Source organism: Homo sapiens, chromosome 19, assembly GCF_000001405.40.
Source record: "Homo sapiens chromosome 19, GRCh38.p14 Primary Assembly".
NCBI lineage: Eukaryota > Metazoa > Chordata > Mammalia > Primates > Hominidae > Homo > Homo sapiens.
This window is the reverse complement of record NC_000019.10, coordinates 51,675,134-51,695,345: the sequence shown is the minus strand read 5'-3', so window position 1 is coordinate 51,695,345 and position 20,212 is coordinate 51,675,134. Positions and strand designations below refer to the sequence as shown.

The following is a 20,212-nucleotide window of genomic DNA, read 5'->3' as shown; positions in this document are numbered from 1 at the left end:
CACCTCGTGGGGATCATGGCCATGGTGATCAGGCATGATTACCGCCCATGCTGCCCATCGGCATTGCGTGGCCCCCAGCCCTGAGGTCTCTTCGCACAGCCACACACCTCAAGGCTGTCACATGTGCCTGTCTCACCAGGACAGTCACACCTTGTCTCTTTTCACTGCTGTCACCTGAGTGATCCACTCTGCTGTTCCTGTTTTCCCGCCCTCTAATTGCCTCACACCTCAAAAATGTGGAATCACTTTATAAGAAATCTGTGTGTGTGTGTGAGTGTGAGTGTATGTCTCTGAGCGTGTCTGTGTGCGAGTGTGTGTGTGTTCTATCCTAGAGGAAGATGCCTTCCCTAAGATCAGGCTCATCAGGCAGCCCCAACCCCTGCACTGAGCTCCATGGCCATCCTAGGAGGCAAGAAGATTGTCCCACTTTACAGATGGGTAAGTTGAGGCCAGGAGAGGGGCAGTGACACACCCAGAACTTCATAGCCAGTAAGAGTGTGAGCCATGCAGCCATGGCAGAACCTATGCCTACCCGACCCCATCTGGACTTCCAGCTCTAGGCAATTTCTGCAGCGTCCCTTCCCCCTCACCACCTTCAGCCCCTGGCTCTTAGAGCTGCCTTCAGCCTTCGTTTGGACAAGTAGCTGAGCTCAATGTCTTCCCAGCTTTCCCCTCCCGGATCACTGCCCAACTCTGGGGGCCTCCTTCCTCTGCCCTGGGCCCTCCCACATACCCATTTCTTAGGGGCTCCAAGTCCACATCTCCCATCTCCCCATCCCCACACACTCACCCTGGGCAGCAGCCAGCTCCTGCAGGGCATGGGTCATCTGGGTGAAGGTGTCATGCAGGTGGCTTCTCTCATCATAGTCTGGCGGTGAGGGAGGGAGCAGGGGCTGGGGGAGGCAGCTCCCCGCAACACCATGTCCCTAATGCGAACATTCTGTTTCTGAGTCTCTGCCCTCCCAAGTCTGTATCCTCCCCTCTCTGACTCTTTGCCCCACAGTCGCTATGCTTCCTGAGTCCCTCCCAAGTCTCTATCCTCCCTGAGTCTCTGCCCCCGACCAGTCGCTATCCTGCTTCCCCTAGTCTCTGCCTCATCTCTGTCCTCCTCTCTCTGGGTTTCCATCCTCTTTGAGTCTCCATCTTCCACCCTCTGAGTCTCCATCCTCCCCTCTCTGGGTCTCTATTCCCTCTCCAGTCTCCAACCTCTCCTGACTCTCCATCCTCCCCTTTCTATGAGTCTCCATCCTCCTGACTCTCCATCCTCCCGAGTGTCCATCCTCCCCTCTCTGACTCTCCATACTCCTGAGTCTCCATCTTTCCGAGTCTCCATCTTCCTCTCTCTCTGAGTCTCCATCCTCCCCCTCTCTGAGTCTCCATCTTCCCCTCTCTGACTCTCCATCCTCCCCTCTCTGAGTCTTTGCCCTGCTGTCTTCCCCTGTCTGTGTCTCTCTGTCCCTAAGTCTCTGTTGTTCTCATGGTCTTTGAGCCTTTCTCCTCTGACTGTTTCTCTCTGTCTGTCCCTCAGCCTGACCCTCTGGGCCTCTCCTGCCCTCCCTCTGCACCTTCCCCAGGACACTGATGAAGTGTGGATGGTCTCCTCACTGATTTCGGTGTCAGAGAGGCCCTGGAAGGCGGCCGTGAAGGCCTCCTCACACTCTTCAAGCTTGGGGCTCCGCATCCCAACAAACATCTGGCAGATGCGGAGGCGCTCAGAGTAGGTTGTGAAGCAGAGGAGACAGGCCCAGGCGGGCACCCTGAAGACAGCCAGGGCCAGCAGGGCAGACGGGACGGCACTGGCCAGAGCCAGCAGGGCCATCGTGTGGGTCTCAAGGCCAGGGGAGAAGCTAGTAACCTTTATGAAGTCACCACAGGGCGGGGGAAGGGCCAGTGGTCTGGGGTCAGAGGTCAGGTTTCAGTTGGTGGTCAAATGTCATGCTCTGGAGGAAGGGTATGAGGAGTCAGGGGTCAGAAGTCAGGCCAGCAATTCCCCAGGTGTGTGGTTGGGCCAGACGCCAGGCTCCCAAGAACCTCACCTGTGACCCTGGATGTCCTCACAGGTTAAAGGGTCTCAGGGACCTAGAGACTGGCAACATGGTGTGCGGTGGCCCGGTAGACCCTGGGGTGGGGGTCAGAGATGGAGATAGGCACAGAGACATTCTGAGAGCCAGAGACAGAAAGACCAAAAACGACAGAAATAGAGACACAGAGAGATATCGGGAGGGGCAGAGACCTAGAAAGCCAGAATAAGAGGGAGTCAGAGGATCCACTGTGAAAGAGACACAGAAGCCACAGAGACACAGCAGAGATGGAGACAGACAGGGAAGGAAAACAGATTTCAGGGGAAGGAGGGGATGCAGGGACAAGGACAGAAAAGAGCCCGGCTCTTCCTCCCAGGGTCCCTGGGGCAGCCCAGTGGGGCTAAGGGTCCCTGAGTGGGGCTGGGGGTCCCCGCCGGGCCCCGTCCCGTGCAGGGCGCAGCCTGGGGAAAGCTAGGAGGCCGTATAGTGATCTCCTTGGGTGTCCTCCTCAACTATACAACCTCCTACCTCAGCCCGGGGGGCGCGGCAGGTGGACAGACCCGACAGACAGACAGACAGGGACCAGGAGGACCAGGGATGAGGGGGAGGGCCGGGGAGGCCCCAGCCGCGATGGTGAGCCCCCGACACGGACCCACAGACACGAGCTTGTGTGCGGCGAAGGCCCCGCAAGGTCGGTTCTACGGGTGGGTGCCAGGACCCAGGAGTCCGGGCCCCCGGCCCCTCCTCCCCAAGGAACCCAGGAGTCCAGGCCCTCAGCCCCTTCCTCATCAGGGACCCTGGAGTCAAGGCTCTCATCCCCCTCCTCCCTAAAGAACCCAGAAGTCTAGGCCCTTCCTCACCACAGACCCAGGAATCCAGGCCTCTGGCCCTTTTCTCCCCAAATGTTCCTGGAATCCAAGGACTCAGCCCCTTCCTCCCTCAGACTCATGAGTCCAGATCCAAAGCCTCCTTCTCCCCAGAGACCCAGGAGTCCCTGCCCCCAGCCCCTCCTCCCTCCGGCCAGGCAGGCCTCCTGGGGAAGGCATGGCCTGATAGAAAACCTGGCTTCCTGGGTGCCGGCTGGGAGGGAACCTCATTTGTCTCGTAATTTGGCCCTTTGGGCACACCTGCTTCCTACCTACCCTCCTGTCAGTCTGCAGAGACTCCAGGCCCAGGGCTAAGGAGGCCAGGGGCTAGCCAACCATCAGAGCCTCCCTAGGTGCTTTCTTTCCTCTCTCCTCCCTTCTTTGGGTCATTTACAACTATGACAGCCACAATCTCCCAGCGCTGACCCCATACCAGGCCCTGAGCACCAGTCCTCTCCCTGACACCTCCCACTCCAGAGAGCGAGGTGCCCTCAGCATCCCCATTTGGCAGGTGAGGGGGCTGAGCCTCAGAGAGGGGAAGAGGCTCCCAAAGTCTGCCCAGCCCCATCTCTGTCCTCCCTCTTGAATCCAGGAGGTGTCCCCAGCCTTCTCCAGCTTCTGGACCCCGGGACCCAGCACCCACCCTCCCCACCCCTGGGCTCTGAGCCCCTCCAGCTGGGGTCTCTCCCGTGCCCAGCCCCTCCTCCTGGACTGTCTGGTTCTCGCTGCCCCTGCTCCAGGCGCACCTTCCGGTTCCTTTCTCGCAGTCCAGGTCTCTCTGGCCCTGCCTTTTTCTCTCTCCCTCTTTCTTTCCACCTTCCCTGGTTCCCAGCCTCCTCCTGCATCAGGACATCCCTCCCTGGCTCTGCGCTGGCTTCTCTCTCTGCCCATCGCCTCTCTCCTCTCCCCGCTTCTGTTTTCTTCCTTCTCTCCCCCTCTTTCTCCTGCTTTTCCTCTACCTTCTGTCTTTCATCCTCCCCTTCTCCCCCTTCCCCCTCTTTGTCTCTCTCATTCTCTCTCTGGCCCTCTCTCAGTCTCTCTCCTCTTTCTCACCCTTCTCCACCCCCTTTTTTCGGATGTCTTTCCTCACTTCCTCTCCCTCCGCCCCTTCCCTCTCTCCATCCCTCACCTCCGTCTCCTGCTCTCTCTCAGTCTCTGTCTCTCTCCCTCTCTCTCTCCTTCCCTCCCTCTTAGGTCTCTCTCTTTCCTCCCCTCCCCCTTCTCTCTTTGGGTCTCCCTCCCTTCTCTCTCTCTCTTTTCTCCTTCCCTCTCTCCCTCCCCCTCGCAGCTCGAGCCAGGTCTGGAGCTGGGGGTGGGGTGGGGGTGGTTTGAGAAGGGGCCCAGGGCTGGGGTAGCGACCTGAGGAGGGGGAGGAGAGGCGGGAAAGGGGCGGAGGAGGAAAGGGGGAGGCGGGGGCCGGAGACGGGTCTACGGCCAGCTCTCTTCCCCCTTCCCTCCTTCCCAACCTCCCAGACCCTCAGGCGGGGGCGAGAGTCAGGCCAAGGTGGGGAGGAAGGGGAAGGGAGGAGGCTGCCCCCGCCCCCACCCCCCCACACCAACCTGGCCCGGAGCCCAGGCCTGGGTTCCCAGCATGCCCCGGGGCTGCCTGGGGCCTGAGGAGGAGGGTGAGGGGAGAGGGGAAGCCGAGAATCTCAGAGATTCCCCGGACCTAAGCATCTCCCCCACCCGCCAACCAGTGTCTCCTTGGGGAAACTGAGGCGGAGAGAGAAGGGTCAGGACTTGTTCAAGGTCACTGGACAAGGCGTTGGTGGAAACGCGAACTCCCTGGGCCCATAGCCCCGCTTTGGGGAAGGGGTAGGCTCTGGACTTCCCCCAGGCCTAGGTCCCCCTCCCCCTCTCTGCGGACCCTGGGGAGCCCCCAAGGGTCAGAGAGCAGACCCAAACAGTCTGGCACCATGGCAACTAGCTGGTCCCGCCCCCTTAACCCCTGGAGGGCTGGACTCCAGCTGGGGCTAAAGAGGAGGTGGGGACTCCTGGGTTCCGGAGGAGGAGGGGCCTGGGGATCCCCAGAACTGCAGGCTTCAAAGGGAGAAAGATGCCGGAGCCTGAACGCTTGGGTTCTAGAGGAACAGAGGGTTGGGGGCCGCGCTCCTTGGGAAGAGGGGCTGAGGTTCTGAACTCTGGGGTTTTGAAGGAGTTAGGGGCTGGAGTGTGGATTCCCTGGTCTGAGAGAACAGACTGGGGGCTCAGACTCCTGGATCCTGGAAAAAAGGGGGCTGGGGGCTCGGATTCTGGAATGGGTGGGGGACTGGGTGGTGTACTCCCAGATCTGAGGGAGGAGGGGTCTGGGACCTGGAATCCCGGGTCCCCGAGGGAGCATGGATGCTGGGCCTCTCCTCCTCCAGACATCTCCTGCCCCCGCCGCTGACCCTGGCCTGTCTGGCAGCCCAGACAACCTCCCCCTCCTCCTCGGCCCCCTCCCACTGGCACGGCTCACCCTTGACCCCTCAAAGCCCCGCAGCCCCATCCCTGCGCCTCCCCCTCCCCTCCAGCCAGACGTTAACCCTTCCGCTGCCGCAGGCACTCCAAAGCCAGTCTTCCTCCACCTCCCCCGAGGGCTCGGGCAGCTCGCCCCTAGTCTCTTCCAGCCACGATCCTACCAGCCCCAGCCCCCATCTCTGTCCTCCCTCTTGAATCCAGGAAGTGTCCCCAGCCTTCTCCAGATTCTGGACCCCGGGATCCAGGTCCCAGCCCCCTCCTTCAAGGATTCAGGAGTCTGGGCTCCCAGCCACCCCACCCTCCCCACCCCCAACTCCTCCTCCAAGAACCCTGAAATCCAGGCCCCCGGGTGCTCCTCCCTCAGGGACCCAGGAGTGCGGGCCCCAGCCCCCCACCCTCCCTTTCCGCAGACTCACGGCTCCCGCGGCTCCCGCGTCGCAGGGAAGGGGTCTTCTCCGCCGCCCCGGGCCCGCAGGCCGGGCCCCACCGCCGCCGAGCGCTCTCCATCCTCTCCCCGCCTTCGCCGCACGGCGGCCTCTCCCCTTCCTCCCGCCGTCCCCGCCATCCTCCTTCCCTTCTCCCCGACTCCCTCCGGCCGTCACCTCCTCCCCGGCTCTGCGGTCCGGGGCTCCCCCTCCCTGGACCCCGCCGGCTGCGCGGCCGTCGGACCAGCCCCCTCCCCAGGGGGCCCCCCGCCCCGGCCCCTCCCCACCGCCCAGCCCAGTCCGGCCTGGCTTCCCCCCTGCCCCGGAGCTGGCCCAGGTCCAGGGGAAAAAATTCCATCCAGCCCCGGGGAGGAGGAGGGAGCGGGAGGGGGAGGCCGGGCCAGAGAAGCCTGACGCAGAGGAGGGAAGGGACAAAAGAGGCCGGGAGGCGGCGGGGCCGGCGCTCCCGCTCGCCCGCCCTCCTCCTCGGCCAGTCTCGCTCCTCCCCGGCTTTCCCTAGCTCCCCTCCGCCTCTCCGCCCCGTCCTGTCCCTCGCTGGCCTCCCTCCCTCTTCTCTCCTGCGCCTCCTCCTCGCTCTGTGCGTGCTCTCTCGCTCTCTCTCTCCCTCTCTCCCTCCCTCCCTTCTCTCTCGTTCTCTCTCTCTCTCTCTCCCTCTTTCCCTCCTCCTCTCTGCTCCTGTCATTCTTGGTTGCTTTTGCTGCCTCTCTGTGTCTCTTTCCGTCTGTCCTCCCTTCTGTCTCTGCACATCTGTCCTTCCTTTCGCCCTCTCCCTATCTCCATCCTCTTTCTCTGCCTGTGGGGCATTATCTGTGTCTCCCATTTATTCTTCCCTTTTCTCTGTTTCTCTCCCTCCCTTCCTGTCTCTGTGTCTCTGTTCTTCCTCTCTCTCGCTTTCTCCTCCCCTCTCTCCCCGAACCAGTCAGGGTCTGCCCGTCTCTCTCTCCCCCTTCCTGCTCTCCCAGCTTCGCCCCCACCAGCTTTAGTATCTCCACCCCCCACCCCCACCCACTGGGGGCTCAAAGGTGAATCAGACCCGAATCTGCCCTTGCAGATGGAGCTCACAGTCTGATGGAAGAGACAGAGCCAGCCGCAGACAGTCCCAATCCCGGGTGATCTGGGTATGACACAGGGAGAGGCCAGAGGCTGTGAGAGCCCAGGGCGGGAGGAATCCTGGCAGCTGGAGACGGCAGAGAGGACCTCCAGAGAAGGCGTGGTTGTGGCATGACCTCCACTAAGGCCCTTCCAGGCAGAGGGCACAGCTGAAGCGAAGGCCCAAGGCAGGAAACCAAGGAGGTGCTGGGAGGACAACAAAGCCCTTAAGTCTGACTAGAGCCTCCGAAGCCAGGAGCCAAGGAGCACAGGAGATGAGGCTGGTGGGGCGAGCGGGCGGGGTCAGATTCTTAGGGAGTTTCAGGCCAGGCTGGGAACTTAGCCTTCTGAGGGTGACAGGGAGCCCTGGAAGGTTGTGAGCAAGGGGCGGGGACACGGTTATAGCTGAATGTCAGACCCCGCTGAGGCTGTGTGGAGTGGAGGGGGAGAGACGGGTGGAGGCTGGGGAGGAGGCCCCCTCCCTGCAGTTTGCGGGCTAGGACCTGGGGAGAGAGGAAGGGGTGGGGCAGGAATGTGAGGAGCTGGAGATGGCTGGAGACTGCTGGGCACTGGGGGCAGAGAACAGGAACCTGTGGGCGGGAAACAGGTAGGAAAACTACAACTCCCTGAGTCTGGCCCAGGAACGGATGGGGCAGGAGTTGCTTTCAATGGGGAACTAGGAGGAAGAAGAGGGTAGAGGAGAGAGATGCTGTGGGCATCTGAGAACTTAGTGGACATTAAGAGCCAGGGAAAACGTTCAGGATGCATGGTGCTGGGCTTTCAACAGTGCATCTCCCTCCCTCCCTATCCTCCAGCCACCCAGTTCTCCTCTCTGGGGACAGCATATATTCACTAATTTCTTATGTATCTTTCCAGAGGAATTTTATACATCTATGCACATATATACCACCCTCCTCTTTTCTGTCCCCTGATAGGATCACATTATTCTGCACCTTGGTTTTTTTTTTTTTTTTTACATGATATCCAAAGATCCTCCCATATCTAGGCTTATAGAACCTCCTCATTCATTTTAATAGTGATATAATATTCCATTGTATTCATCTATTTATTCCTAGTGTATTCAGTTAATTGGGAGATTGGGAGGTTTTTTATGTCAAGAAACTAATGGTTATGCATATTGATATTTACAGATTTGCTTATGTATGTATGTATGTATGTATGTATGTATGTATGTATGTATGTATTTATTTTTGAGACGGATTGCCCAGGCTGGAGTGCAGTGGCATTATCTCAGATCACTGCAACCTCTGCCTTCCAGGTTCAAGCCATTCTCCCACCTCAGCCTCCCACGTGGTTGGAACTACAGGCCTGCGCCACCAGGCCCGGCTAATTTTTGTGTATTCTGTAGAGATGGGGTTTTGCCACGTTTGCTGGACTGGTCTTGAACTTCTGACCTCAAGTGATCCTCCCACCTTGGCTGAGCCACCACACCTGGCCCAAATTTGCTGATTTTTAAAGTGATTTTGTCCAATGCTTTTAAGCCTCTAAACCCAGATATTCGATAAATGCTTACTTCTAGATCCTTTAAAATTTGTTGATAATTACTAACAATGGGATAATAATAATGACAACAGATACCCTTTATTGAATGACTACTTGGAGCCAGTTCCTGGGATGAGTATTTGTTATACATTATATCATTGATTACACAGAAACCTTATTATTAGAAACTATTATTATCCCAATTGTAAGGATGGAATACTGAATAGGATGCAGTTCTGAATAGCGAGTTGCCCAAGCTCACAAAGTATGTGATGGAGCTAGAGATTCAAACCCAGGCCTCTCTGGCTCCTTCTTTGGGGTGGGCTTGCTCTGGGAAAATATGCTATTTCTAAGGATTGACACTGGGTACATTTAAACTTGTCATGCACACAAATTCATGTATGATTAAGAAGGACCCTTTGTCAGACCCCTCACTTTCACTTACGATCTAGAGTTACTGTCATTCTACATTCACCCTGGATGCCCTGTAGACAGATCAGGACAGGCACCACATCACAGTCCTTGTCCTGGCCCTGATCCTGTTGTGTTGTGATTTTCTACGTCTGGGTCTGTCTTTGGGAATTTACTGAGGGCACAGTCTGGGTCTGAGTCATTTCTGTGTCCTCAATATCACTCCACCCAGGCATGGCTCAGAGCAGGGGCTCAGGAAAATGTTTGCTAAGTGAATGAATGAGGAGATGAGTGAATAATAAATGACTTGTGGATTAGGCTGGGACTTGCTTAAGCCCCCCAGGAACAGTGACCATAATTCCCATTAGTTTCTGAAACATAAGGCCTCTGTTCTGTTCTCATCAGTTAGCAAGTCACAGGGACCACTGGTTCCTTCATTCTCTGAAATACAGGGCTCCAAATCTCTCAGCACATAAGACTCATCTACTGCAATTCCTACAAATATCCAGAACTCAGGATCCATCATTGCCTTCACTCCCTGAAACAGGGGGCCACCATTCCCATCAGACATTGGCACACAAGTACAGGTTGAGCATCCTTAATGCAAAAATCTCGAATCTGAAATGCTCCAAAATCAAAAACTTTTTGAGCACCGACGTAACGTCAGAAGTGAAAAATTTCATTCCATCACTTGATCTCATGTGATAGATTGCAGTCAAAACTTTGTTTCATGGGGCTGGGCACAGTGGCTTATGCCTGTAATCCAGCTGTTTGGGAGGCTAAGGCAGGAGGATCACTTGAGCCCAGGAATTTGAGACCAGCCTGGGCAACATAGTGGGATTCCCATCTCTACAATAAAAAAATTTAAAACTTAGCAGGGCATGGTGATGCATGCTTCTTCTCCCAGCTACTAGGGAGGCTGAGGTGGGAGGATTGCTTAAGCCCAGGAAGTTGAGGCTGCACTCCAGCCTGGTTGATAGAGTGAGACCCTGTCTTAAAACAAACAAAAAACCTTGTTTCATGCACAAAAATATTGTATAAAATTATCTTCAGGCTATGTGTAGAAGGCATATATAAATGAAATGAAAACAAATGAATTTTGTGTTTGGACTTGGGTCTCATCCCCAAATATCTGATTTTATATATATGAAAATAGTCCAAAATACAAAATAAAAAAATCAAACCTGAAACACTTTCTGTCTCAAGTATTTTGGATAAGGGATGCTCAACCTATATCACCATCTTTATCAGTCTCTGCTACCCAATATTGTAATTCTCATACTTCTTAGACACAGGGGCCACCATTCTCATCAACTGCTGAAACTCAAGTTCCACTATTATTACCTCTTGGAACAGCACTTCAAAGGAAAATAGAAACTTCCTACCCTTCACAAGGTCATCCCAAGTTCCTGAAACAGGAACTGGTAGACAGGAGGACACCTTAACCTACCTTGAATTAGGTCTGAGTCAAGGACTTACACGTTGATACTATAGAACAGGCGGCACCGGGTCATGAGGAACATCAAAGTAGCAGAGAATCCTTCCATGTGAGGGATCAACCCTAAAACCAAGATAATCCGATAGCACCACCAGACAATCCTTCCATGTGGGGGGATCAACCCCAAACCCAAGATAATCCTAGAGCACCACATAATCCCTGCAGGTGGGATAATCCCCACACTGGCAGAGCCTAAAATCACGAGATGATCTAAATCAAGCTTGTCCAACCCACAGCCCATGGGCCTCATGTGGCCCAGGATGGCTTTGAATGTGGCCCAACACACATTCATAAACTTTCTTAAAACATTGAGGTTTTGGGTTTTTTTTGCAAATTTTTTTAAGCTCATCAGCTATCATTAGTGTTAATGTATTTTATGTGCAGCCCAAGACAATTCTTCCAGTTTGGCCCAGGGAAGCTGAAAGATTGGACACCCCTGAACTAAAAGCAGCAGATTCTCCTATTACACCATTAAATAACCCCAAATGGTAATTTGCCCCTGGTGGACTTGTAGGAAGTAGAGACAGGGTCCCCATTGTTGTCGGGTCTGGGCTGGGGGAAGTGGGGAGGCAACAGATCTCATTTCCACAATTAATTATTTTCTGAACAAAGGGCATGGGAAAATGGGTGTGATGTTTTGGGGAGGGTTTCCCTATAGCCTTTCTCTTCACCTTGGGCCATACCTTCTTTTTGTTTGATGAGTGAAGGACCTTCAGCTGCTCTGCTGTTTACATCTAAGAAAAAGGTAGGGAAGGTTACACTGAGGTTCAAGGAGACAGACTAGTTATAGTTTTTGCAAGTCCGTCAGCTGCCATCTCCTCCTACCTCTGATAATAGATCATCTCTTTCCTTTAAGTAACCCACTCCACATGACTCTGACAAGAATGTCCAAGCACTGATGCCCCTCCTTCTCCCCCCAAAAAAACCTAGTCTGGGCATCTGGGTATATGACACAAAATAGGCCAACCAGAATATTTATCATTCATTGTCTGTGAGCCCTGACAGAGCTGGTTAGAATCCAAGATTTTATTTTTGATCTTGATACTTTAATTTTATGTCTTCTAAAATATAAATGTATACATATGCATTTGTACACATATATATTGTTTTAGTTTCTGAAGAACAGAGTCATACTACATATGCCAAGGTGATTAAGAGCACAGATTCTGAAGCCCGATGGCTCAGGTTTGAATCCTGGCTCAGCCATTTTACTAGCTATGTCTCTCTATGTCTCAGTTTCATCATCAGTAAAATGGGTGTAATAATAATAGTACCTATATCATGGGTTGAGACATAAGGATTAAAGGAGTTAATGTATGGAAAGTGCTTAAAACAGTGCCTGGCACACAATAAACCATATAAAAGAATTATCGAATGTTATGCCTACAAATTAATACAGAGCTAGCTCTTTATTCTAATTTATTCATACACATGCACAGAATTTTATATTAACAGGGCAATTTATTCTTATGAAGGTATTTTTACTGTATTCTTTCCCATCCTCATTTATTTTTTTCTTTGGTTACCTTGATTGACCCCTCCCTTCCTACCCATTCACCAGGTGCTTCTCCTCCCAAAGTTATCTGTCATACCTGTTGTGAGTTAAATTGTGTCCCCACCCCACCAAATATATATGTTAAAGTTTGAATCCCCTGTACCTGTGAATGTGACCTTCTTTGAGAGCCTTTACAGATGTAATCAAGTTAAAATGAAGGCATACTGGATTAGAGTGGGCCCTAAATCCAATGACTGGTAATCTGATAAGGAGAGAGATATTTGAAGATGCAGATAAAATACTTGGGAAGAAGGCCATGTGATGATGGAGGCAGAGAGATTCAAGTGATGCATCTACAAGCCAAGAAACACCAAGGATGACTGGCAACCACCAGAAGCTAGAACAAGAAACCAAGGGGCCTACAGAGGAAGCTGGTCCTGCTGATACCTTCATTTCTAACTTCTAGCCTCCACATCTGCGAGAGAATACATTTCTGTTTTTGCTTGTTTGTTTTGAGGTGGAGTCTCCCTCTGCCACCCAGGCTGGAGTGCAGTGGCATGATCTTGGCTCACTGCAGTCTCCACCTCCTGGGCTCAAGTGAGTCTCCTGCCTCAGCCTCCCAAGTAGCTGGGACTACAGTCACCTGCCACCATGCCTGGCTAATTTTCGTATTTTTAGTAGAGACAGGATCTTACCATGTTGGCTAGGCTGGTCTCAAACGCCTGACCTCAAGTGATCTGCCCGCCCTCAGTCTCCCAAAGTACTGGGATTACAGGCATGATACACTGTGCCCGGATAATTTCTGTTGTTTTAAGCTGCTCAGTTTATAATACTTTATTACAACAGCCCTAGAAAACCAATATAGTATCCATGTTTATCTGTGTGTCTTGTCATTCTTTACTTCATGTTTAAGTAAACATACATACACACACAAACATGCACATAGTTGGGTTGCATTAAAATTCAGCTTCAGCCTCAATATTTGTTCATTTTTTTCTATTTGACTTTGATCTCACCTCAGTCTTTTGGAGGTGGAACCACTGAGTGCCAATTTGAAGTTCATTTCTGGCATCCCTGAACTTGTGTGGTCACGATGAATACATGACAGATTGGGTTACCAGCCTATCTAACTAGCACAATAACATTAGAAATATGAACAAATCATGTTCCTAACTTTAAAATCTTAATAGTCACCTTCAAATTTAAGCATTCTAATGTAGCTTGGAGTGAACATCGTGTGTGTGTTCAAAGTTAAATTTTTATCAAAGTATAAATGTGTGTGTAATTATACAATTACAGGAGTAAGAGGCTGAAATAAATAATGGTGATTGTGAAAACCTATAAGTTACAGATGATTCTTCAGGAAACTGACTCTGAAGCAGAGGTTAGAACTCCCCTACAAGTGTGAATCCTGAGAACACCCCTATTAATTTCCTGCTCTCAGGATTCACACTCGTAGGGGAGCGAAGGAAGTAGGATTAGGCAGTGGGAGAAGGTGAACTACTATGCAGTCATAACAGAAGCCCCAGCCAATCCTACAGGAAACTCTACAGCTAGATGGCTCCACAGAGATGTCCTGAATCGGGGAAAGGGGACTGGGCCTTTATACCATTCACTGACCTATTAAAAGAAGAACTTCAGACAAATTAAATTGAACACAGTTTATTTGAGTAGAGAACAATTCATGAGTAGGGCAACACTCAGAATCAGAAGAGCAGTGAGCTTGTATAAGCTGAACACAGAAGCAAAGTAGAGAAATCATCTGGTTGGCTACAGCAAGACATTTGCCTTATTTGGGCACGGATATGATCAGTTAGCTGCCTGTGATTGGTTGAAGCTTGGCTGTTTGTGATTGGCTGGAACCTTGCTATTTGTTACAAAAAGTATACTACTAAGTTACATTTCGGTTTGTTTACCTACTGACTTAGGTTGCTATTTATTAGGTAGGAACTCAAAGTATGGAGAAAACCTCAGGCTCATGGCCTCCAGCATAAACAGGCTCATGGCCTCCAGCATAAACAATGCTGATTTAATAGAGCAGTCATTGGATGTGAGCTGACCCAGGAAGGGGTTGTGACTTTGGGTGAGGCAGCTCCTTGCTCTGAAGGCAATCCTTACAAGGGAGTGCTGCCAGCTGTCAGCAATCAACACTCACAGCAGCTGGGATGAACCAGTGCTTCAGTCCTGGGGGCACTCTATCATTACACCATGCCTTTCAGGTCCAAAAACAATTACTGAGAACTTCCGCATAATTATACAACTCAGGAAATAGACTGAGTGTTGGTATGAAGATTAAGAGTGCTTTAGTTAAATGCCATTAGAAAGAATATTGTCTCCTCTTGGAACTGGAAAGTGATTGTAAAAATATCAATAATAACATGAGTCAGAACAGCAAAGATTAGATTCCATGGAAATCCAGAGATCATTTTTGTGATAGGCAGCCTCCCTTGTAGAATTTTTTGGTATTCTATCATTCATATTATTAACGAAAATAATCTTTGATGACCGTATTTGATGTTTTTTAGTTATTTACATTTAGGCTGTGTATCTTTTTAGAAAAAGTGTTATCTGAAAATTGTTCACATTTGTGAGGATGAATTTCAAAAAGATTGGCAATTTTGCTTACTTAAATTTCTTGAAGTAGAAATGAAACTCTCTAAAATCATGTGTAACAACTTCTGTGCTAAATCGTCTTTGATCCAGACATCATAATGGGTGCAAAGAGCATGAAAAAAAAAAAACAGAAAAGTGTTGGAAATCAGATTCCCCAAATACATTTTGTTCTCACTAATCAAACTTCAAAACAACAGATTTTATAAGCACACTTTAAAAAAATTCTTTATAGTTTTGAGTTAGTGAAGCTAAAATCTTAAAGCTGTAAAATTGATTGCACAACACTGTCAACCATTTTTTGAAGTAGAAGACAAAGGATTTTCAAAATTTGCTAAAATTATGATTCTTAAAAGTTCTTTCTAGAAAACATGTTTTGAAAAGTTATTCCAAATTACATTAAGCTGTGCACAAAATTATTTTATGTACTAATTCTGTATCTTATAGATTGAACATTTGGACATAGAGAAACAATCAGGTGTTTTCTTCCTGATTTATGATGAATTTCACTATATTTCTACTTGGTGGTGGAGATATTTCTTGGTCTTACACGTAGTTAACAACATAGTGCATATACTTTATGGAATGTATGTCATATGAAAAAAGTCAATTGTTGATAATGGAACAAAAATGGCAAAGGCTATGAGTGAATTAGAAATTAGAAGTATATTATTATTTCTTCACACCTTTAATTGTGTGTCCAGGAATAATCAGAGCTCAGTATCAGGTAATAGAATTAATGTCCATAAGCAGAAAGATGGTTGGGCCACACTTTCATCATTCTTCAGTCAAAATCAAACTCATGACATACAAGAGACCTTGGAATTGCATGCCTATGAGGTTTTTAAACAGGATGACAAAGCAGCTCTTCCATGTTCAAAGCAATACTTAAACAAAAAGCCGATACTGTACTCTGCAGATGACAATACCCACCCAGCAGGACGTACTGATAACTGAGAGTTGCTTGAAAAAAAGTGGTTTATTTGATGAACCTACTGAAGAAATAGCCAAACGAAGGTGCTTTGAGAGTGGATGTATTTCACACGATACATGCTGTAAACACTTTGCTATTGTTTTGCTCCTGCCAATGTGCTGAAACAGGTGCATAGCTATTGAATGCTGAGATACAGATGGAAATTCAGAAATTATTTTTGCGGGGTTGTCAGCCTTCTAAAATATCTCCCAATGATCTCCACTTCCTGATATTCATGTGTTTGTGTAACCTCCTCCCCAAAGGATGAACTTAGTGACTTACTTATAACTAATGGTATATGGCAAAAGTGATGGAATGTCATTTCCAATATTAGATTACAAAAAACTGTGTGACTTCTGTCTTGCTAGCAAACTCTACTGCCTTTCTGATTTTCATGTATTAATCAAGTAAGTGGCTATATTCTGAGCTGCCATTTTTGAAAGACTCATGAGGTAAGGAACTGAGGGAAGCCCCTGCCAACAGCTAGAAAGGAACTGAGGCTCTCATTCCAATACCCTGTGAGGAACTGCATGTTGCCAAAAGCCAATGAATAAACTTGGAAGTGGGTCATTCCCCAGTAGAGCCTTCAGATGAGGATGAAGACCCTGAGTCAACATCTTGATTTCAACCTAGTGAGAAACCGTAAGCCAAGGACCAAGCTAAGCTGTGCTCAGATTCCTGACCACAGAAACTGTAAGATAAGTGTGTATCAAGATGCTCAGTTTTGGAATAATTCCCTAGGTAACAATAGATGGCTAATATTAATACTTTTTTGTTTTTCTGTTATATGAATAGTATTTTGATATCTTGAAAGTGAATTGTCTTTCTCTATTGTCATATTTCTCATCCAAGATTTCAGGAGACATTCTTCCCAACAGCCTACGTGAAATAGCAAGCAAATGCAAAAATCTTATGGGAAAACAAAAAAACCTAAGAGAGGGGAGAACTTTCTCATTTTTGAGAATGGCAGTCCAGGCTATATGGATCAACTCCTCTGCTGAAAGTCATTAAAAGTGGCGGATAAAATACTCAAAACAATCTTTATAAAATAATGGAAAGACAATCTAGTGAGGAATTTCCTAGCTAAAATTTAGAAAGTGAGAACTCCAAGAACTAAGCAGAGCATTCAAACCTGCTTTTGACTGATGAGCATAGGCTTATTCTGATTATAAAAATGAGCTGTAGTTTTCAACAGTCTCCTGAGAGGAAAGGAACAAAAGTAAAAGTGGCACCAAACTGGTACTATGGCATATGGTAAAAGCAAACTGAAACCCTCCTTCATGGATGTACTTTGATCATAGAATGAAAATGATCCCAGGTAGAAGGTCTGAGGTACGAGGAGGAAACAGGTGGTAAATATATGGATGTATCCATCAGGATTCGAATAGGAAGCTGATGGCTCATTCAAGAGCTTAATTAAACATAGACTTGGCCGGACACGGTGGCTCACGTCTGTAATCCTAGCACTTTGGGAGGCCAAGGCAGGCGGATCACTTGAGATCAGGAGTTCCAGACCAGCCTGGCCAACATGGTGAAACTCTGTCTCTACTAAAAATACAAAAAGTGGCCAGGAGCGGTGGCTTACGCCTGTAGTCCCAGCTACTCAGGAGGCTGAGGCAGGAGAATTGCTTGAACCCGGGAGATGGAGGTTGCAGTGAGTCGAGATCGCGTCACTGCACTCCAGCCTGGGTGACAGAGCAAGACTCCGTCTCAAAATAAATAAATAAATGAATAAATAAATAATAAACATAGGCCAATGAAGGGACTAAATAGAGATGTAGGCAGGATTAAGAGGTCCAAAAAGAGATGGTGCAGCATCCAAGGACAAGCAGCAGTGGGAAACGGGTACCAGCCTAGACCTGATGGGGCAAGGGCAGTAGCCTTGGAGGATGGGCTGCCTTATAGGACTTGTAGCACAGAGGAATGCAGCCACGGCCAGAACTGTAGGGAGAGAACAGGAGGAATAAAAACCCTGACTTCTTTCCTCCCACCCTTCAATCTCCGGACAGTGCCTCCCACTGGCAAGGGGAAGCTGATGATGCGGTCCTGAGAGGTCAGCCTGTCAGTGCACAGAAATGAGCAGAGACAAGTGAATGATGGATCTGAAGAGGCACAGGTCATCCCTGTTGTCACTGAGCACCCATTACGTTCTTTTGTTTGGATGAACAAGCTCACATCCTTAACACAGAGATGCCCAGTATTAGTTCTACTATTACTGCAGAGGGAAGTCATTCCTGCTATACTTCTGAAACTGAAATTGTAACAACAGCCATGAAAAGTGCTCTTCATGTAAGATATCAGAGTGAAATTGAAGTGGGAAAGAAACAATTAGTTACCATAAAACATAATAGCTGCAGTTCCTGCTTCTATAGCTGGTCATAAAGCCTAAATTGATAACCATTTTGTGTCTCTCTTACCTTCCTCTAGCACTTCGTTTCCTTGGAATTTTTTATCTGGTAGAGTGACCCAAAGGATCCAAGTCATTAATGCTTCGTCTTTATTGCACTGCTGCAGTTATCCATTGACCATTATTCTGGACAGAGTATAAAAAGCCTCCCGACGGAATAGTCTCGGTTCCACTCCTAATTCTCCTTGATTGCACTGTATAGCAACAACATATTTTTCTCCTAATAATTGGATCAATTGGTACCTTTACTAGCTTAGTAAAGGTACCTCCTTCTCTGCCTGATGGTTTAGCATCATGACTTGCCCAAAATGGCCAAGAGGCAGCCTCTCCTTCCACTTGAAACCATAACTGGGTCCTTTAGTGGAAGTGTTTCTCCTTGAAACACTAGGACTCGCAAAGCCACCCACTCCAAAGTTGCAAATTTAGGAAGCAAAAAATTGCATAGGTGTGTGATTAGGTGGAATAAGGAAGAGGAACCAGTTCTACTGTGTCCAGAATTGGTTCCTTCCGGTGGGTTCTTGGGCTTGCTGACTTCAAGAATGAAGCCGCAAACTCTTGCAGTGAGTGTTACAGTTCTTAAAAATGGCGTGTCTAGAGTTTCTTCCTTCAGATGTTCAGATGTGTCCAGAGTTTCTCGCTTCCGGTGGGTTTGTGGTCTCACTTGACTTCAGGAGTGAAGCCACAGACCTTCGCAGTGAGTGTTACAACTCTTAAAAGTGGCAAGTCTGGAGTTGTTTTGTTCCTCCCGGTGGGTTCGTGGTCTCACCGACTTAAGGAATGAAGCCACAGACCTTCACAGAGTGTTACAGCTCATAAAGGTAGTACAGACCAAAGAGAAAGCAGCAGCAAGATTTACTGTGAAAGGCAAAAGAACAAACCCACCACAGCCTGGAATGGTACCTGAGCTGGTTGCCGGGTTGCCACGGGTGGCCAGCTTTTATTCCCTTCTTTGGCTCCACCCTCATCCTGCTGATTGGTCCATTTTACAGAGCACTGATTGGTCCATTTTACAGAGTGCTGATTGGTGCATTTTTACAGAGTGCTGATTGGCACATTTACAAACCTTTAGCTAGACACAGAGCGCTGATTGGTGTGTTTTTTACAGAGTGCTGACTGGTGCATTTACAAACCTTTAGCTAGACACAGAATGCTGATTGGTGCGTTTTTAGAGAGTGCTGATTGGTGCATTTACAAACCTTTAGCTAGACACAGAATGCTGATTAGTGCGTTTTTACAGAGTGGTGATTGGTGTGTTTACAATCCTCTAGCTAGACAGAAAAGTTCTCCAAGTCCGCACCCGACCCAGAAGCCCAGCTGGCTTCACCTCTCACTACCTCCACTGCTTGGTTTTCACATTGTGTATTCTGGCTCTGGGAGAAATGGCACTGTATATTGGTGCTGGTTTAAGGCAAATACTGTTCGATAGCACCTCACCCAACCTCACCAAATATTCACCGCCAGATGGCACTATAACTTGCCTTCAGTAGGTCATTTCATCAATACATCAAGTCACCTGCTTCTGGGTAATGAGGCCCACAGTTGTATTTTATTGGCCTTAAAATTATTTTCTTGTTTAGTGTGTGGGAACTGGAGGGGTTGTGCATTTAGCTGGCATGGTAAAAAAGATAAGGGATTCTTTTAAGGTAGCCATAGATGCTTTCTGATGTTTCTAACATATCTCTTAAGTTGGGCATGCAAGGACTCATTTATCTGTTTTTTTTTTTTTTTTTTTTTTTTTGAGAAGGAGTCTCACTCTGTTGCCCAGGCTGGAGTGCAGTGGTGCGATCTTGGCTCACTGCAACCTCCGCCTCCTGGTTCACAAGCAATTCTCCTGCCTCAGCCTCCTGAGTAGCTGGGATTACAGGTGTGTGCCACCACACCTGGCTAAATTTTGTATTTTTAGTAGAGACGGGGTTTCACCATGTAGGTCAGGCTGGTCTTGAACTCCTGACCTCGTGATCCACCCGCCTCGGCCTCCCAAAGTGCTGTGATTGCAGGCGTGAGCCACCGTGCCCAGCTATCTTTTCCTTTTTGTTTGGTCTTCAAGTTGGTCAGAGGCAGCCTGTCTGCCACACAGTCTTCATAATAACCTTTATCACCAAGGTGACTGAGTGCCACTTAATTTCCCAATGCTTTGCCCTCCACCTTCACTCTCTGTTATTTCACCATTAGTAATAATTTGAGTAATCATAACAATAAAAATGAGTAAGAGGCTTAAGTATAAGACACATGTAAAATAAGAAAATAGTAATATATTGGAATGTGCAAACTGAGTAAAGGGTTCTAATGTCCTATCTTATATTGGAGAAGCTTTAAAAGGTCACTAACTTTAGACTTTATTAACTGTGTATTATATGTTTTTTAAAGAATAACTAATAAACTTAGCAATAGAGTGCAAAACTTTTAAACTTGTGGGAAAGAAATGAACTAAGA

General features: G+C 48.8%; 1 protein-coding gene, 1 long non-coding RNA gene and 3 other non-coding genes across 10 annotated transcripts in view, besides 4 other annotated features; 1 reads left to right on the top strand and 4 right to left on the bottom strand.

The window, feature by feature from the left end:
- Positions 1 to 12,660, bottom strand: part of SPACA6 (sperm acrosome associated 6) — a 30,458-nt gene extending 17,798 nt beyond the window's left edge. For 3 of the 6 annotated variants that reach the window (XR_007066593.1, XM_017026299.3, NM_001316972.2), the window contains exons 1-2: positions 1,606 to 2,016; positions 791 to 868 (exon numbers count right to left, since the gene is read on the bottom strand). Coding sequence is in view for 4 of the 6 variants with exons in the window: in XM_017026299.3 (XP_016881788.1) it covers positions 791 to 868; positions 1,606 to 1,819 (292 nt within the window). In the remaining 2 variants the exon portion in view is untranslated. Of the gene's footprint in view, positions 1 to 790; positions 2,017 to 5,763; positions 5,965 to 6,855 lie in introns of those variants that run through there. The other 3 variants (XM_017026300.3, NM_001316994.2, NR_024330.2) reach the window with 3 other exon arrangements.
- Positions 1,890 to 9,983, top strand: SPACA6-AS1 (SPACA6 antisense RNA 1). The gene is made up of 2 exons (NR_108100.1): positions 1,890 to 2,712; positions 6,845 to 9,983. It is a non-coding gene; the product is annotated as an SPACA6 antisense RNA 1 (long non-coding RNA).
- Positions 2,007 to 2,092, bottom strand: MIR125A (microRNA 125a). The gene has a single exon (NR_029693.1). It is a non-coding gene; the product is annotated as a microRNA 125a (primary transcript).
- MIRLET7E (microRNA let-7e) lies at positions 2,482 to 2,560 on the bottom strand. Its single transcript, NR_029482.1, has one exon. It is a non-coding gene; the product is annotated as a microRNA let-7e (primary transcript).
- Positions 2,665 to 2,734, bottom strand: MIR99B (microRNA 99b). The gene has a single exon (NR_029843.1). It is a non-coding gene; the product is annotated as a microRNA 99b (primary transcript).
- Positions 3,741 to 4,550: an enhancer, noted in NCBI's record as "H3K27ac-H3K4me1 hESC enhancer chr19:52194049-52194858 (GRCh37/hg19 assembly coordinates)". NCBI's record gives its function as "activates a minimal SCP1, AML or CMV promoter by ChIP-STARR-seq in naive H9 embryonic stem cells {active_cell/tissue: H9 hESC(naive)}" and the evidence as "EXISTENCE:reporter gene assay evidence [ECO:0000049][PMID:30033119]".
- Positions 4,551 to 5,358: an enhancer, noted in NCBI's record as "H3K27ac-H3K4me1 hESC enhancer chr19:52193241-52194048 (GRCh37/hg19 assembly coordinates)". NCBI's record gives its function as "activates a minimal SCP1, AML or CMV promoter by ChIP-STARR-seq in naive H9 embryonic stem cells {active_cell/tissue: H9 hESC(naive)}" and the evidence as "EXISTENCE:reporter gene assay evidence [ECO:0000049][PMID:30033119]".
- Positions 4,915 to 5,014: an enhancer, noted in NCBI's record as "active region_15028". NCBI's record gives its function as "activates an Ori minimal core promoter by ATAC-STARR-seq in GM12878 lymphoblastoid cells {active_cell/tissue: GM12878}" and the evidence as "EXISTENCE:reporter gene assay evidence [ECO:0000049][PMID:35858748]".
- Positions 7,136 to 7,354: a silencer, noted in NCBI's record as "fragment chr19:52191245-52191463 (GRCh37/hg19 assembly coordinates)". NCBI's record gives its function as "represses an EF-1alpha promoter that drives an FKBP-Casp9 reporter gene in an ReSE screen in HepG2 liver carcinoma cells {active_cell/tissue: HepG2}" and the evidence as "EXISTENCE:reporter gene assay evidence [ECO:0000049][PMID:32094911]".
- Positions 12,661 to 20,212: the final 7,552 nt, after the last annotated feature.